General features: G+C 39.7%; 1 long non-coding RNA gene across 2 annotated transcripts in view, besides 1 other annotated feature; it reads left to right on the forward strand.

Annotated features, from left to right (window-relative positions):
- The window catches only part of LINC03109 (long intergenic non-protein coding RNA 3109), a 66,028-nt gene that overhangs the window by 35,245 nt on the left and 11,217 nt on the right, over window positions 1-19,566 (forward strand). The window contains exons 4-5 of one of the 2 annotated variants that reach the window (XR_002959654.2): window positions 1,385-1,516; window positions 17,963-18,102. This is a non-coding gene — a long non-coding RNA (long intergenic non-protein coding RNA 3109). Of the gene's footprint in view, window positions 1-1,384; window positions 1,517-5,535; window positions 5,995-17,962; window positions 18,103-19,566 lie in introns of those variants that run through there. The other variant, XR_001740975.2, reaches the window with a different exon arrangement.
- Window positions 18,034-18,113: an enhancer, noted in NCBI's record as "active region_20717". NCBI's record gives its function as "activates an Ori minimal core promoter by ATAC-STARR-seq in GM12878 lymphoblastoid cells {active_cell/tissue: GM12878}" and the evidence as "EXISTENCE:reporter gene assay evidence [ECO:0000049][PMID:35858748]".

Consider the following 19,566-nt stretch of genomic DNA (forward strand, 5'->3'; position numbering starts at 1 on the left):
CTGACATGTGACAGCCAGCCTCTGTCATCAGCTACCACAGTGCTGGTACAATGAATGCATGAAGAGACTATCAGGGATGAAAACTATTCATGGGTCCTACCAGCATCATAGACTGATAATCACTATGGCTAACTACCACTGCTATCAGATATTCAACTAGCCTGCATCAGAGAACGATACTAAAGCCTGATAGGATGCCATCTTTCAAGGAGACTAACCAGTCACTTGGTGCCAAGTTGATTATATCCTCGAAGAGGCAGCAATTCATTTTTACTGGAATCAGCACATATTCTAGGTATGGGTTTTCATTTGCCACTTGTGGAACCTTGACCATCTCCAATATCTGAAGGTTTACAGAATGCTCGATCCATAGACATAGTATCCCACTTGACATTATATCAGACTAAGGACCATTTTAAAGAAAGAAAAAAAGGTATGGCCGTGGACATATCACAGTGAAGAATATTGTTCCCATAACAGACCATACTACCAAAAAGCTGCCAGTCTTACAGAGTGATGGAACTGCTTTTTGAAGGCATAGAGGCACAAGATTGGAGATAACACTCTGCAAAGATGGGGTGCCATTCTCCAGGATGCAGGATACATCCTAAATCAGTGATCATTATCTAGTGTTATGTCCCTAGTAGACAGAAGTAAAGTTTAAGAGTGACCCCTTTTGCTATTACTCCTAGAGACTCACATGAAGAATTTATGCTTCTGACTCTGCAACAATGAGCTCTGCAGGTCTATCTAGCATTTCTGTTCACAGAAGATGAGCGCTTTTACTAGCAAGATTTTAAGCTCTATTTGCTTCTCAGTCAACCAGCACTTGAGATTTCATGTACAAAGACCAGGAAAAGATTTACCATTCTGGCACAGATAATGGACTCTGATCATTACAAGTATGTATCGCTGCCATTATGTATTGGGGCAGGCAAGAATACATCTGGCATCCAGGTGATCCACTGAGGTACTCCCTACCCAATATTCCACATAGTTCAAAAATTAGCAGTGAAAATTTTGTTTACACAATTAGCTGAGGACTTACTGCAATATTCAAAAATTTTTAAAAAGTACACCATCATAAGAAAAGGTGTTTTTTATGTGTTCATCATTCTTGCCTTTAAATCTGGAAGGTAGACAAGAAACTGAGAAGATAACGGATGGCAGAGACCCAGAGGCTTAGTTCTTAAATACATTTGTGCCATAGTTTCCCTGGCTTTCCTTTCTCTAGAGTGTGGATAAGCAGTAACCAAAACAAAGGAACAACACTATAAGAAATCCATAAATAAGTAGAGAGTTTTCTGGCCTTTCCATGTGGGAGAGATGAGAGTTGATGAAAAAACACCAAAACAAAGCAAGCTTTGTGGCTTATTTCCTGCAGATATCTGAGAGCAACCTTCTGCCAGGATTTGCCCTGCCCACAGGCGTTAGCATGGACTTGATGACTGCGGTGTGGCTTTTACTTTCTCAATTTTCCAGAGCTCATACTCCTCAAACTCCAGAGGAATAAGATGTAAGTATAATTGGTGACCATAGAGCCCATGATTCAAGTTAGTCAGACCTAATTATTTGAAAATATAACTTTCTCTGCCTTTTTTTTTCTAAAATTATTTGAAACTTGGTCAAGCAAAGGGTACATGGTGTTTCCTGCCATGTCAGGAAAACAAAAAACAAATACAACCCTATTGAGAAATCCTAATCATTCTACATAAGAGAAATTTAGCCTCTTTTTATTTTACTGTTAAAATCTATGTTTTGTGGAAATTCTGAAACTCATTTTATAAGACTAAATTAAACGGAGAATTTTGCTAGTCTCATTTATTGTTGAATCTTCACGCTAGGAAAGACTGGAGGCTCTGAGGGAAAGTTCATGCTGTTTTTATATCCATGTTGCTAAGGTGATTTTGTGGGATGAAAACACACTGGCAACTCTCCATTAATTTGTTTACAAAAGAATATGAATGAGTTTCACCTCCTACAGTCAGGAGCACTTCAGCTTCTGCTTAATTCTAGCAAACCATAAACCAACTAGCAAATTAAATAAAAATTCCTTCAGTTATTGTTAAGGTACAATTACTCTCAGAAGAAACATATATAATCTGTTAAATAGTCCCAATTAACTAACTATTTAGAGCACAAAGTGAAAAACAGAATATATGTGAAACTAAGTGAGGAAAAGATAATTTGATTCCAAAATGGAATTTATCTTGCTTTTCAGACTGTCTTATCTCTCAGTAAGTCAAAATGGTTTAGAAAAACAGGTGGCTTGTTGCCTTTTGCAAGTGTGTGAATGCGTAGAATAATATATTTGTATTTAATCATTATTTATTTAATACAATGTGGCTTTTTGGACTGGGGAGTGAGGAATGGGGCAGAGAGAGTGATAGCTGACTTTGTATGAATAATACCAAGGAAACGCAGTAAAGGTCTAGATGTTTTCATGCTTAACGACACCGTATTGCTTTGTACATCTCTTCTGAAATCCCAAGCATGATTTTTTGCCTTATTGCATCAGAAGAGAGACTAATCATGGAGCACTGATTCTAGTTTATGGGACACCTGGCAAAAATAATCATACTACAGTGTATTGGCCTCCTAGGATGAGCAAGAAGTAAAATTCTTGTAAGAGAACATGATTACAACAGGCCATCAGTGAAGTTTTCATGGATTCTGGTGCTCAATTGCCTAGGTCTACTACTTTCTACTTCATGATATAGGAGCAAATAACTTAACCTCTATGTCCTGTGTCATCCTCTGTAGAAGAATAATAATAAAAGTAACATCAAAAATTAACAGATTTAACCTGTATTATGTTAGTATTTATTGTTTTTAATATAGATATGATTTGAATTCTTTAGTATATAGAGAATAAATTTAAATTTCAGGGCCAGAAAGTCTGTTTTTTTCTTAATATGAGGAATATGTATTTTGTATAGGTTTGACACAAATCTCTACCAATATCTACTGTTCTCTAACTCTTTAAATTCACTAAAAGAATCCCATAATTTGACTGTAGGTTGATTTCTCAAATTATTTGGTTTGCTAGAAGCTGAACAGTATTGCCCACAGTAGATTAAAAACCTAGGAATAACCTATCATAGCATGGCCACTTTTCCTGTTCTTGCATCTAAAATCTCTCTCTCTCTTTCTCTCTCTCTCTCTCTCTCTGTCTGTCTATGTTTGTCTATATATGTTTTTTGGTTTTTTTTTTTTTTTTTTGAGAAGGGATCTCACTCTGTTACCCAGGCTGGAGTGCAGTGGTACGATCTCAGCTCAATGTAGCCTTGACTTCCCAGGCTCACATGATCCTTCCATCTCAGCCTTCCAAGTAACTGGGATTACAGGCATGCACCACCACGCCTGGCTAATTTTTTGTATTTCTTGTAGAAATGAGGTTTCAGCATGTTGCCCAGGTTGGTCTCGAACTCCTGGGCTCAACTGATCCTCTCAAAGTGCTAGGATTACAGGCGTGAGCCACAGCTCCAGGCTGCATCTAAGATATTTTAATTGAGGAAAAGAATATGGATTTATAGAATCTTAGGGTTGAAAGGACTCTTAAAAGGCAAAATTCCACCCAATACAGGTGCTCTCATTCCCTCATATATTTATTCTGCTGATTACTGAGCACTCCTTAAGGGCAAAAACTGTGTCTTATTTTAATTCTGGATCTTGCCATTGATATAGTGCCTGCACTGAGGCAATGCTTATTTGGAATGGAATTCATTTATTCTTCCATTAAGCATATATTAAGTATCTAATAAATGCCAACACTTGGATAAGCTATGGAGTTATAAAGATAAATAGTACAGAGTTTCTGCTCTTTAGGAGCTCACTATATTGGAATGTTGTGCAAACTAAATATTATACAGTAGGGGCTAGATGAGATTGATCAACAGAATGTAGCCGGTTATACATGAACGGCAGTGCTCTCTTTAAACTTTTGGAAGGGGGAATTATGCCCTTTTGGTCTTCCACTTGCTCTCCAACAGCCTGACTTTTACCCTAGCAATGACCAGCTCTATAGGATATTAGTGGGTAATCTCTAAGTATGGCTTGGCATGTAATAAGGAAACTGCCAGGCCTTTTGACATTTCCTTGTCTTTTGGAGACTTGAGATGTTCATCTTACAGTGATAATAAGGGTCAAAATGGGGTCTGGACCACAAAGACAAGGCTGTCTCATGAATGAGTGATTCATTGACATTTTAATTTATTGAAAGCCTGAGACAGTGGGCCTCAGATAACTCTCCCTTACTCCATCTAAGTGGTCCTTCAGGAAGTGCCTTAACATCAGGAAGCTCACTCCTGGGTAGGCAGCCCTGTATATTGTCAAAAGATTCTTATGTTGAATCTTATCTACCTCCTTGTAATTACCAATAATCAGTGCCAATTCTGCCATCTGGAACAAGATATAAAATTAAGCACTTTACCATGTAACAGGCATTTGAACAAAAGAGGATCCCCGAAATTATTATGATACCACACCATCTTATCTTTTGGTTAAATATTTCCAGTTCCTTCAAGGGATCCAGTCCCCATCCCTCTTATCACAATTCGTCAGACTTCTCTCTTTGAGACACTCTAATTTGTCAGTGATCCTCTGAAAATATGGAGCTTGGGATTGGACACTGTCAAGATCCATACCACATTAAAATAGCTTCCCAGGAGGCCTAGGTTACATCTCGCAGAACAGAAAATAGATTACAGAAATAGAGCATGGAATCACTTTGTTCACTGTAAAGCCCTTTTACAGATGTACAGTATACAATATATAATACTTTGTAGATTTTCTCATTTTGTTTGTTTTGAGATGGAGTCTTGCTCTGTTTGTTGTCCAGGGTGGAGTGCAGTGGTGTGATCTCAGCTCACTGCAACCTCTGCCTCCCGGGTTCAAGCAATTCTCCTTGCCTTAGCCTCCTGAGTAGTTGGGACTACCATGCGTGCCACCATGCCCGCTAATTTTTGTATTTTTAGTAGAGATGGAGTTTCACCATGTTGGCCAGGATGATCTTGATCTCCTGACCTTGTGATCCACCCGCCTCAGCCTCCCAAAGTGCTGGGATTACAGGCGTGAGCCACCGTGCCCAGCCTCTTTGTTGTTTTTTTTAAATCTCGTACATCAAAGGGGTTAAATGACTTTGTTCAGAGCCAATGGCTCAGCAGTACCTATAAGAAGAAAAGGCAACCTTAGTTGTTTCTTAATTAAGACTGTCGTAGCATAAGGAGTGTTGAGAAATTAATTTGGCAGCCTAAATTAACGTGCATGACTGTAACAATCATCTCCGATTTACTTTTTTGAGAAGCTAAGCAAGTATTGATTCATTTCTGCAGACTCCTGTGAGTAATCACATTCAAAGTAGACAACATAAATTATTAAGAACCTGCTTTTGCTTGGTAACTAACTTCATGCTGAAAGAGCAAATGTCAAAATACATTAGAAGAAATGGTTTGAATCAATTTTTTGTTAACTTTAAGAATGTCTCACCAAAACTAACTTATAAGTGAATGTCTTAGTTTCTGTATTACTTTTCAGAAAATCACCTTTTAGTGCTAGAAGGAAACTGAGGAGTCATCCAACCTAATCCAAACAGAAATATGTGGAGGTAGGAAAGATTTTATGATTGTGAAAGCTGGATATTTAGCAACCTAATTGATTTTTGTATCAACCAGCAATTAGTTTTTAAGCTGGAGTAATTAACTCTCTTAATACTCAGAAATCACTCAATATAACTGTGACTAAGTTGTGTTTAAGGACCAACTCTAACTGACTGTAACTAAGAAGACGATGAGGGGACACAATAATAGGTAATGGTTCATTCTTTCTATAGGTAATATCTTTATATTGACCCCTAACAACATGTTGAAAAGGCTTGTTGGTGACAAGACATGTTGGCAGTGTTTGGTGATGAGATAAGCTAGGGTTTTAAATTCTTTTTGTTTGTACTTTTTCATATTACTTATTTTTTTCCATGGAACCTCTATTATTTGTAATTTGAAAAATTATATGCATTAATATTTTAGAGAAATATATTTTCTATTTCTGACTCTCTGCAATGAAGAGAAAACTAGGAGGTCACAAAATGACTTTCTGTTAAAAGTCTAAGTAGATTATAGTTTATCTAATGCTACTTTCTTACTTGTATATTCAACCTCTGTTCCACCTCTGGCCTGGGTTACCAGGTGCCAGTGCCTATCATGCAACTAGAGCCTTTGTTTTGCCTTTTCCCACCCACATCCATGTCCCCTGCATGGTGCATCTCTACTTAAACATCACAGAGCTGATGAAGGGGGCAGCAGGCTGCACACAAGCCTGGTGGCAGTTACACAGGTTTCTATTTCATGGTGGTGAGAGAGTAGCTGTAGTTGTAGAATTGTGGCTGATTTTACTATTGTTTCTTTTTCACATCTGTATATTCCAGCATTTCTGCATGGGAATATTATTTAATTTAAAGTCAGTAAAAATTCTATAAAATATGTAAGTAGCAGTAGTTTATATTACTTATCTATTATTATTATTATTATTTTTTGAGAGGGAGTCTCACTCTGTCACCAGGCTGGAGTGCAGTGGTGAGATCTTGGCTCACTGCAACCTCCACCTCCTGGGTTCAAGCGATTCTCCTGCCTCAGCCTCCCAAGTAGCTGGGACTACAGGCACGCACCACCATGCCTAGCTAATTTTCACATTTTTAGTAGAGATGGGGTTTCACCATGTTGACCAGGATGGTCTTGATCTCTTGATCTTGTGATTCGCCCGCCTCGGCCTCCCAAAGTGCTGGGATTACAGGTGTGAGCCGCTGTGCCCAGCCAGTTTATATTACTTATAGATGACTTATAAAATAAGTTAAATTTTATTTCCTGCAATATAGGAAGGATGTAAACATTTTAGAAGAGATTGAGATTAGCGATTTGCTTATGACTACATAGCAAGGAAACAGAGAGACTCTAAAATAATTATCTTTTTGTGAAGTGTTCATTAATTTTTTTTTTTGTATTTAGTCTTAAAAAGCTGAGGCAAGTTAGTAAGAAATAAAAAGAGAAAGCCTGGAACCGTTTAGCATGTAAGAATAAAATGAATTATATGATGGATTTTCTTTTCTTTATTTTCCTCAATAGCAAACATTTGCTCATTTTTCTCTACTTTAATAAACAACCAAGGTAAAATTGCTTCTGAAGACCTGAATTTGGAACAGCAAGATTTGAGTGATAAAAACTTGTTTTGCAAATGTATGGTATAAATGGAATAAAGCTGATATTGACAAATGCTCATGATAAGAAATTGCAGAAGAATGAGAATGACTTTTCAAAGAAATAAATTGTCTTGTAGAATATTGCATTTTGACTTTTAAGTCAATCTGAATTTTTTAAAAACAGATAAGTTGAGCCTATTCACATGTAGTAATTTGATAGATATTTGATTTTTTTATCTGCAGATAATAATTCATAACATAATATTTACTGGGTATCTTTCATTCTGTAGTGTTACTGAAACACCAGGGGTTCGGTCTAGGTCCTGCTGCTCACTGCACAGAAAGCTAGTCACTGAGATGAGTACTGCCAGGGAAGAAGGCTTTAATGGGGTGCTACTGCCAAGGAAATGGGAGATCAGTCTCAAATCCATCTCCCTGACTGATTAAAAATAGTAGTTTATATAGCAGGGAAGAATTGTAACTACATGCAGGAGGACAGGAATTAGGGAGGGGTAAAGAAGAGGGGTTGGTCAACAGGAAGCAGATGGCCACTTAGGCAATCATGATGAGTGAGGAGTCTGAGGGCTCATTGTGCAGATAAGGTGATCCGATAAGTGTGTCAGTTCCTTGATACTATCTGGGAGCCTGATAGTTAGTTTCCTGAAAAAGGAACTCAGATAAGACAAATGTAACTTTCTCAAGTTTTGAGACTGAGAGGGTTAAATTCTATGTTTATTCAAAAGACGAGTCTCCCTCTGTCCCCCACGCTGGAGTGCAGTGGCGCGATCTCAGCTCACTGCAAGCTCCGCCTCCCAGGTTCATGCCATTCTCTTGCCTCAGCCTCCCGAGTAGCTGGGACTACAGGCGCCCGCCACCACATCCAGCTAATTTTTTGTGTTTTTAGTAGAGATGGGGTTTCACTGTTAGCCAGGATGGTCTCAATCTCCTGACCTCGTGATCCACCTGCCTCAGCCTCTGAAAGTGCTGGGATTACAGGTATGAGCCACTGCGCCTGGCCTTCTTTGCTTTTTAAATTAAATGTTTTCTTTTATTTTGTAATACTTTTTTGTGTTTAGAAAGATTTGTATTTTCAAAAAGTATTATCTTATTTTGATACTTGCATTTAATGGTCTTCGTCCTTAGATTTTTACTCCTCTGTCACCCTTAATTTCCTTTTATTTCTACCTATTATCTTTACAGCAGTCAATGAACATATTATATTTTCACTCAATTTTATTTCTTTTTGTGTTATTTTGATTTTGACAGAGCAAATAATATTTACATACTAATTTTTCTCTCTCATTCTCACCTATGTTATAGTCATAGATCTAAATGTAAGCTGGCTAGATTTGTTTTTCATTTTTTGATGTAGTTTATAGAGCCTTGTAGGTTTATTTTGGTCATTTAATTAAGCATATTTAATCATCATTACCAGTTATTTCACTGGTTTCCCTAATGATCTCTTTGTTAAATTAAATTCATCTTTTAGTAGATTACCAGGAAAGACTCCTGGATGTCTTTAATATCTGAAAAACAGTGTGGCTGGATATAAAATCTTTTCCTTACATTTCTCCCTTTAAGTTTATGGGCAGTGCTATTGCACTGTTTACTTGCTTTGACCGTTGCTGACAAGAATTGTGATGCCAACCTGATTTTCCTTCCTTTGTAAATGACTTTTTGATTTTGCTTGGAAACCCAGAGGGATCTTTTCTTTTAAATTTCAATAATTTTACTAGGATATGTCTCACAGTTGACCTTTCTGGATTGATTTTTTTTCTTTTGATAAATGATAGATCCATTCAATATGTAGATCTAGGCCTTCCTCTATTTCAGAGAACTTTTATTGAATTATAGTTTTAAATATCAGTTCCTACCCATTGGGAATTGGGTCGCTAGAGGACAGGGTAAGGAGGAACTTTCATTCTACTTTTTGTGTTTTGTGCTATATGTGATTTATTCAAAAATAAATAATTAATGAAAAAGACTAAACCCTCATTTAATATCCTGAATATACTTTTCTCTTTCTTTCTTTTCCTTCCCTTCTTTCCTTCTTTCTTTTTTTCTTTTCTTTTCTTTCTTTCTTCTTTCTGTCTTCCTTCCTTCCCCTTCTTCCTTCCTTTCTTCCTTCCTTCTTTTCTTTTTGAGATGGAATCTCACTGTATTGGTCAGGCTGGAGTGCAGTGGCATGATCTCGGCTCACTGCAACCTCTGCCTCCTGGGTTCAAGAGAGTCTCCTGCCTCAGTCTCCCGAGTAGATGGGATTACAGGCACCCGCCACCACACCTGGCTAATTTTTGTATTTTTAGTAGAGACAGGGTTTTACCATGTTAGCCAGGCTGGTCTCGAACTCCTGACCTCAGATGATCCACCCGCCTCGGCCTCCCAAAGTGCTGGGATTACAGGCATGAGCCACCACGCCCAGTCACTTTGCTATGTTTGCCACTTGTTAATAGAAATATATTGAAATACTAAAAATACCTGGATGTGCTATATGAAACAATTTAATGAAAGTAGTTGTTATGTCCTCTATAAGGTAACTTTTAAAGCTATTACTCAATGCTGTGCTTCTGAATATTCAGAAAATAAATTGGATTATTGGTTTAGTATCAAAAAAGTTCTTCTGCTCTGATAATCTGATTTGCTTTCAATGTGTATGTACTAAATTGTGGTATCATCATGTTTCACTCCTTCCTTTGGCAATTAAAAGCTGTAGTACTAAGTCTGAGCTATTATTGTATTATTAAGAGTAACACTAAATCTTTGTTTTGTTTTGTTTTGTTTAACTTTTAAGTTCAGGCATATATGTGCAGGATGTGCAGGTTTGTTCCATAGGTAAAAGTGTGTTTTGCGGGTTTGTTGCACACATTAGTTCATCACCTGTGTCTTAAGCCTAGTATCCATTAGCTATTTTTTCTGATCCTTTTCCTCCTCCAAACCTCCACCCTCCAACAGGCCCCAGTGTGTGTTGTTCCCCTCTATATGTCCATGTGTTCTCATCATTTAGCTCCCACTTATAAGTGAGAAGATGAGGTATTTGGCTTTCTGTTCCAGTGTTAGGACATGATCTTCTTGTTTATTTTATAGCTGCATAGTACTCTGTGGAGTATATGTACCAGGTTTTCTTTTTTTCTTTTTCTTCTTTTCTTGAGATGGAGTCTCTCTCTGTTACCAGGCTGGAGTGCAGTGGTGTGATCTCAGCTCACTGCAACCTTTGTCTCCCGGGTTCAAGTGATTCTCCTGCCTCAGCCTCCTGAGTAGCTGGGACTACAGGTGTGTGCCACCATAGCCAGCTAATTTTTGTGTTTTTAGTAGAGACGGGCTTTCACCATGTTGGCCAGGATGGTCTCGGTCTCCTGACCTCGTAATCCGCCCACTTCGGCCTCTCAAAGTGCTGGGATTACAGGCGTGAGCCACTGCCCCGACCCATATTTTCTTTATCTAGTCTTTCATTGATGGGCTAGATGATATCTAATCTATCATTGATGGGTTATTGTGAATAGTGCTGCAATGAACGTAAGTGTGCATGTGTCTTTATAATGGAATTATTTTTTTGGATATATACCCAGTAATGGGATCACTGGGTCAAATCATATTTCTGTCTTTAGGTCTTTGAGGAATTTCTACACTATCTTCCACAATAGTTAAACTAATTTACACTCCCACCAATAGTGTAAAAGCATTCCTTTTTCTCCACAACCTTGCCAGCATCTGTTACTGTATTTTTTTACTTTTTAGTAATAGCCATTCTGACTGGCGTGAGATGGTATTTCTTTGTGGTTTTTATTTTCATTTCTCTAATGATCAGTGAGGTTGAGCTTTTTTTCATATGATTGTTGGCTGCATGAATGTCTTCTTTTGAGAAGTGTTTGTGCATGCCCTTTACCTACTTTTTAATGGAGTTGTTTGTTTTATTCTTGTGAATTTGTTTAAGTTCCTTCTATTAGACCTATTTTGGATGCACAGTTTGCAAAAAATTTTCTCCCATTCTGTAGGTTGTCTGTTTATTCTGTTGATAGTTTCTTTTGCTGTGCAGAAGCTCTTTAGTTTAATTAGATGTCATTTGTCAATTTTTTGCTTTTGTTGCAATTGCTTTTGGTGTCTTTGTCATGAAATCTTTGCCTGTGTCTATGTCCTGAAAGGTATTGTCTAGGTTGTATTCCAGAGTTTTTATAGTTTTGGGGTTTGCATTTAAGTCTTTAACCCACCTTGAGTTGATTTTTGTATATGGTATAAGAAAGAGGTCCAGTTTCAATTTTCTGCATATGACTAGCCAGTTCTCCCAGCACCATTTGCTGAATAGGGAATCCTTTCCCCATTGCTTGCTTTTGTCAGGTTTGTTGAAGATCAGATAGTTGTAGGTGGGTGGTCTTATTTCTGCATTCTCTATTCTGTTCCATTGGTCTGTGTTTCTGTTGTACTGGTACCATGCTGTTTTGGTACTATAGCCCTGTAGTATAGTGTGAAGTCGGGCAGGGTGATGCCTCCAGCATTGTTCTTTTTGCTTAGGATTGCCTTGGCTATATGGGCCCTTTTTTGGTTCCATATGAATTTTAAAATAGTTTTCTCTGGTTTAGAATTTAAAATAACTGGAGTTAAATTTGTGATCTGTCCAAAGTTAGTAAATAAGACTTCATGACATGCATTAAAAATTATTTTTATCATTATTATTATTATTGAGACAGAGTCTTACTCTGTTGCCCAGACTGGAGTGCAGTGGCACGATCTTGGCCACTGCAACCTCTGACTCCCAGGCTCAAGCAATTCTCCTCCTTCACCCTCCCAAGTAGCTGGGATTACAGGCGTGTGCCACTACTGCCTGGCTAATGTTTATATTTTTAGTAGAGACAGGGTTTCACGATGTGGGCCAAGATGGTCTTGAATTCCTGACCTCAAATGATCATCCACCTCGGCCTCCCACAGTGCTGGGATTACAGGCATGAGCCACCGTGCCCATCCTAAAAAATTATTAACTCCATTCTTCTCTCCATTTTTATAACCCATTCTTGTTTTAAGTGCTTACTACAGTAGTACATATGACTCCCAGAAAACCTTAAAAAATGTAAGCTAGCTAGATTTGTTTTTTGTTTTTTGATGTCCTTTATAGAGCCTTATAGGTTTATTTTGATCATTTAAAAATACATGGTATAGGCCGGGCGCAGTGGCTCACGCCTGTAATCCCAGCACTTTGGGAGGCCGAGGCGGGCGGATCACGAGGTCAGGAGATCGAGACCATCCTGGCTAACACGGTGAAACCCCGTCTCTACTAAAAATACAAAAAATTAGCCGGGCGTGGTGGCGGGCGCCTGTAGTCCCAGCTACACGGGAGGCTGAGGCAGGAGAATGGCGTGAACCCGGGAGGCGGAGCTTGCAGTGAGTCGAGATCGCGCCACTGCACTCCAGCCTGGGCGACAGAGCGAAACTCCGTCTCAAAAAAAAAAAAAAAAAAAAAACATGGTATAGATAGAATTATCGAGTCATATACTCATTTTTTATGTGAATCTGTTGAAGTAACTGGTTATAGATACCCACTAGAACCTAATTATACCACACTGATTTGTAGTGTGACTTTTTGTACAGCAAACATCTCCCTGAGAATGGCAGGAACTGTTGAGATTGTGTAACTTTCTAATATGTAAGATTTGAATTTTTATTCTATAACTATAAAAACAATCAGTCAATGGAGAAGAGGTTCAGAAATATTATAGATTTTGGCACAGCTTCTTTTCCATGTCAGGAACACTGGTAGAGACTTTCCCAGCTTCCACTGCTTGTTCTCTCCAGGCTGATTTCTTCAAAGGCATTCTTACTTTTCCTTAGGTCTGGGAGTATGATACAAAACAGGAAAAAATTTTGGCTATGACCTGGGTTTGAATTCTAATTTTGTCACTAACTATATGAGATTGAAACTCTTACTTAAGTTCTAATCTTTTCACATAAATGAACATAAGAACATCTACCTTATTTGGTGGTTTTGTGTCCGGAATTGGTGGGTTCTTGGTTTCGCTGACTTCAAGAATGAAGCCGTAGACCCTCGCAGTGAGTGTTACTGTTCTTAAAGATGGTGTGTCTAGAGTTTATTCCTTCAGATGTTCAGATGTGTCCGGAGTTTCTTCCTCCTGGTGGGTTTGTTGTCTTGCTGGCTTCAGGAGTGAAGCTGCACACCTTCACTGTGAGTGATACAGCTCTTAATGGCGGCGCATCTGGAGTCGTTCGTTCTTCCCGTCCGGAGGAGTTGTTTGTCCCTCCCAGTGGGTTCATGGTCTCGCTGGCTTCAGGAGTGAAGCTGCAGCCTTCACGGTGAGTGTTACAGCTCATAAAGGTGACACAGACCCAAAGAGTGAGCAGCAGCAAGATTTATTGCAAAGAGCAAAAGAACAAAGCTTCCACAGCGCGGAAGGGGACCTAAGCAGGTTCCAGCTGCTAGCTGGGGCAGCCTGCTTTTATTCCCTTATCTGACCCCACCCACATCCTGCTGATTGGTCCATTTTACAGAGAGCAGATTGGCCCATTTTACAGAGAGCTGATTGGTCCATTTTGACAGGGTGCTGATTGGTGCTTGAGCTAGACACAGAGTGCTGATTGGTGCATTTACAATCCTTTAGCTAGACACAGAAGTTCTCCAAGTCCCCCCTAGATTAGTTAGACACAGAGCACTGATTGGTGCATTTACAAACCTTGACCTAGACACATAGTGCTGATTGGTGCATTTACAATCCTTTAGCTAGACATAAAAGTGCTACAAGTCCCCACCCAACTCAGGAGCCCAGCTGGCTTCCCCTAGTGGATCCCGTGCTGGGGCTGTGGGTGGAGCTGCCCACCAGTCCTGCACAGTGTGCCTGCACTCGTCAGCCCTTGGGCGGTCAATGGGACACAGCACCATGGAGCAGGGGGCGGTGCCCGTCAGGGAGGCTTGGGCCGTGTGGGAGCCCAGGGGGGCCGGGGGGTGGGGGCTCGGGCATGGCAGGCTGCAGGTCCCGAGCCCTGCCCCGCAGGGAGGCGGCTGATGCCTGGTGAGAATTTGAGTGAGGCACGGATGGGCCGGCAGTGCTGGGGGACCCAGCGCACCCTCTGCAGCTGCTGTCCTGGGTGGTAAGCCACTCACTGCCCAGGGCTGGTGGCAGTGCTGGCGGGAAGCTCCGAGTGCAGGGCCCGCGGAGCCCACGCCAACCTGGAACTCACACTGGCCTGTGAGTGCCAGACGCAGCCCCAGTTCCCGCCCGCACCTCTCCCTCCACACCTCCCCACAAGCAGAGGGAGCCGGCTGAGGCCTCGGCCAGCCCAGAGAGGGGCTCCCACAGTGCAACGGGGGGCTGAAGGGCTCCTCAAGCATGGCCAGAGTGGATGCCGAGGCCTGAGGAGGTGCCAAGAGCGAGCAAGGGCTCCTAGCACGTTGTCACCTCTCAGTTTTGGAAATTAATTGATAATAAATGGAAGGTGATATACACACTGGTTAAATATATGTCAGCTTGCTTATCTTTCCTGCTCTCTGTGCTTCGAGACAAATTTCAAAGGAGCTTCCTCAGCAAACATGAATTCCTGTGTTATTGCTTTCAAGGATAATGTGACATTACTTAATAGACCAGAAATGGAAAAGCAGCCTTGTGGATAGCTCCCAATTTGGAAAGTTCCTTGCATTAATATGTTTATTGGTTTATTCTTTCAAGCCAAAGGTAAACTTTGCAGAGGAGACTGTGTAACACCAAGCAGTGGCACTTGTGATAGTCACGTTATTTTCCTTTTCCTGTATCTTATCAGTAAAAGTCAACCAATCAGTTATAGCCTTATACTATGGAAGTCAGCTTCCATAGCATGGATTTCTCAATGTGAGTCCACACTTAAGAAAGTACACTCCATTCAGCTTTACTGAAATGAACACACTTCTAAGGCTGACAGGCATGGATCAATTTCACTTCTGTAACCAATGAAAAATGCTCTCTTGTGTCCAACACAAAACATCTTTTTAAGACTGTCATCACCACAGCCTTGCCTCTGTCCAGCACATCTCCAAGCAAACTCTTGTCAAAAAAATCTATACAGTATTGTGATATTGTGAAATACGTATTTGGTATTTGGTATGTAAATGTTATGTATCCCATTTCCTGGCATTCAACTTTTAAAATCTTTAAAAATGCCTGAGTGATGTCTTTTTGTATGCTAATGAGTTGACGTAGGGCTGGCAGCCTCTAGGTAGCTTCAGAACTAGGGGCTGGTCACCAGAAAACCAGTGGAGAATTAGAGGGCTGGGGCTTTCAGTCCCACCTCCTAACCTCCAGGGAGGAGAGAGAGACTGAAGATTGAGTTGATCACCAATGGCCAATGGTTTAACCAATCATGCCTACATAATGAAGCCTCCATGAAAGCCCGAAAGACAGGGTTCAGAGATTTGTAGATAGCTGAATACAGGGAGGTTCCTGAAGAGTGCCACCCAGGGAGGGCATGGAAGCTCTGTATGCCCCTTTCCTCATACCTCACCCTGTGCATCTCTTCATCTGTATTCTTTGTAATGCCTTTTATAATAAACCAGTAAACATGTTTCCTTGAATTTTGTGAGGTGCTCTGGCAAATTAATCAAACCCAAAGAGAAGATCTTGAGAACCCCAACTTGAAGCCAGTGGGTCAGAAGTTCTGGAGGCCCAAACTAGCAATTGTTGGTGTCTGGGGAAGGGGGCAGTCTTAGGGACTGAACCCTCAATCTGTGGGATGTGATGCTATCTCCAGCTACATAGTGTCAGAATTAAATTGGAGGACACCCATTTATCCACTGCAGAACTGATTGCTTGCTTAGTGATGGGTAGAACCCAGCCCTCTCCACCAAATTTGGTCACAGAAGTTGTCTGTGTTGATTGTTGATTGTTGTTGTTCAGTGAGAGAATATAAAAACCACTTTGCATGCTTTTGAATTGAATACACATAGACCAATAACAAAAGGTCTGCTCCATCAAAGTCTTAGATTTAGTGGCAGAAATAGATAACACACATAATTGTAGCAAAATATAAGGAGTGCTATAATTTGTGTCTCAATAGCATACTACGACAATAAAGAGGAGGGATTTGCCATCTTTGTCTATGGCAGCTGGTTTGGGGGTGGGGTTTCACTGGCAAACAACATTTCCATTGCACTTTGAAAACTGTGTAGACGTTGAAACAATAGAAATCGTTGAAGATGATGAAATTGCATCTGGAAAGACCCAGAGCCATGAACAAGGCATGGGATTTATGTAGTGAGTGGAAGGAAGTTTTCGATGATGGGCAAAAGAGAAATATGACAGTAATAAGGCAGGTGAAGGTGAGAGTAAATATATGTAATGTTGGAATCAGAGAAGGACATTTGAATAAATTTAGTGCATAGAGTATTCATTTTGTTTTCTGGAAAGCGGTAAGTAGTTTTTTTCTCCTGGATATGAAAGTGAAAGCTTGCGCAGGAGTGTGAAGTTATAAAATGGTCACCTTGGTGAATAGGAAAAATATCTGAATGAATACAGACATAAGGATTGCCAAGCTGTACTGAGGACTAAGTTGAGTTTGGAAATGGTAAATATGCAATAAGTCCAAGCAGTACAGTTATGCAATTTTTCCCAAGCAGTGTTTGGCAGCTTATGAATTTCTGTTGCGCAAGCAGATGGTTGGATTAATCACAGGTTAGGGACCGGTAATTCTCATGGGCTGAAAAGACAAGAGGTTTAGGCACTGGAGGGTACAGGCAAGAATTCGTGAATTGGTAGTCCAGGTTACGTAGGGAAGGAAGAAATGGGGCCATGATTTTGGGAATTCAAAGTAATGCTATACATGAAACATGAGACTGTGTGAGTTTTATAGTTGCGAACAAGATGTGTAAATGTATTTTTGATGGAAAATAGTGGAATAAGACAAATTAAGTATATTCCGAGTATAATGGCAATGCCTGGGTATTAGGCTGAGTGGGACCATGGACTCAGTAATTAGCTCTCCTTAGCTCAAAGTTTATGCCTGCAGTTTAGATAAACGTGTGTTTATTAAAATGACAAAGATAAAAGAATAAATGTTTAAAATCATAATGTATGCTGGACCAATCAAAACAAACCTGCTCTTTCTTAGTCTCCTTCTTCATAGTAAATGACACTATATTTTTTAGGTGCTTAATCCCAAAAGATAGGGTCTTTCTTCTCTATCTCTCTCACTACACGTTTCACCATGGACAGATTTTGTTGGCTCTACCTTGAAAATATAGCACACATTTTCCATACCTTATCACTTTTATACTGTAACCCTAGTCCAAGCCCCCATCATCTATCATCTAGGTCACTGCAGTAGCCTCCTACCTGCTTTCCACTTCTACAGCCTATTTTCCACTGAGGAGTCAGAGCTTTCCTCAATGTGAATCAAGTCGTGCCATTCCTCTGCTCAAAAGTCTTCTTGCATTCTGAGAAAAAGTCCCACACCATTATCATGGTCTACTGCATCCTGCACAATCTGGCTCTTCATTACACTTCTCCCTCATCCCCATCTCCTTCCACCTCACCCACTGGACTCCTTGGTGTTTCATTAGATATTTTTAATATTGTCTATGTGTTGAATTGATAACATTTTATTTATAATGGGTTATACTAAACATATTAAAATCGACTTTCACTTGTTTGTTTTCTTCTGCCTTGTTAATGTGGCTGCTAGAAAATTTAAAATTATATACCGGGTTCACATTATATCTATGGGCAGCATTGGTTATTGAGTCTATGTTGACTGTGTGTCTTCCCCTAAGTGTCTGGTTGTGGGCTGGGGGCTACTCTTGCACAACAGGGCCAGCAGTCAGGAAGGAGATTTGAATGTGGAGCACAGCAGAGTGAGCACGAGCTGAAACCCTCCAAGCATATTTTCATCACTGTATTGCCTGTGAACATCTTCAGAGTGTGATGACTCCTACTTCCTCTGAATCTCATGTGAGTTCCTCTTTTGGCAGCTCTAACTCTAACCTTACAGGAAAGGGGAATATAGAAAACACAGTTCCCAGAAAGAACTAGTTCCAACCAGTCGATTGAACCACTCAGCACAGCTTCTAAAAGAGGACTCCCTGGACTGTTAGGGTCTTGGAAACCATGTCACACAAAAATTGTCTCATGTAACTGAAGATAATCATTCTGGAGAGCAGAGGATTAAAAAGAGGCATGCCATTAAATATTAGAAACACTTCTGTGTCGAAGACAAAAATTGACTTACACCTATAAATTCTTCAGATTTTCTCTCCTAAATTCTATGGAAATGTATCAATATTTTCACTGATTAAAATTTTTTTCCCACCTGTTCAAACTCTTCGAGTCTTAATTAGGATGGATGAGTGGAAGTTACAGGGACTCCAATTTCAATGCCACATAAGAGGGAATGTTCTAACATCTAGAATTGTGACACAAGAGCAGACTATCTCCAAAGGTGATGAGTTACATGTCAACTGGAGGTAATCAAACAGCAATTGGATGACCATTTATCAATTGTACTGAAGAATGGATTCTAGAACCTATCCAAAGGTTGGATTGGATGACTTCTGAACTCTGAACTAAATCTAAAATTTTGTGAGACCCTAAATTTCATTCACCAGTACTCAATCATTTCCAACTGCTACTTAATTAAGCCTTGGCTTTTCATTCTAGACACAGGAAAATCTTCATTTTCTTTCATCTAGAAAGATGACTAGGACTTTAAAGCTTCATTCTTTGATCTTTTCATAGCCTTGGTCTCCTGGCAAAATGTTTGTAGTTTTTTCATTGAAAGTGCTTCTTGATCTTTTTTTCAGCTTTCTTCATTAAGACATCTGATAAAGATGACTTCTTTATTGTTGCTTCATTAATGTAAATTAACATAAAATACATTTTTCTTCCTTTAAGGGTAATGTGTGCTTATTAAATATATGAGGTATTTATGTATACCTCATGTTAATCAAAAAGATAGACACCCTCCGGGGGTCTTTTTTTTTCTCACACACTACACATTTAACCATGGACAGATTTTGTTGGCTCTACCTTAAAAATATATCACACATTTTCCATATCTTACCACTTTTTTACTGTAACCCTAGTCCAAACCCCTATCATCTGTCATCCAGGTCATTGCAGTAGCCTCCTACCTGCTCTCCACGTCTACAGCCTATTCTCCACCGGGAAGTCAGAGCTTTCCTCAACATAAATCAAGTCATGCCATTCCTCTGTTCAAAAGTCTTATTGCATTCTGAGAGAAAGAATACTTCATATTTAATGAGCACACAGCACCCTTCAAGGAAGAAAAATAACAAGATATAAAAAAGAAAATAAATACCCTAAAGCCCACAAGCTAGAAATAAACACTTCTAAAATGTTAGTATAATTACTTCCAGTTTGATAAGAAGTCAGATATGTATTTAACACAATTGAAAT

Source organism: Homo sapiens, chromosome 3, assembly GCF_000001405.40.
Source record: "Homo sapiens chromosome 3, GRCh38.p14 Primary Assembly".
Classification (NCBI taxonomy): domain Eukaryota; kingdom Metazoa; phylum Chordata; class Mammalia; order Primates; family Hominidae; genus Homo; species Homo sapiens.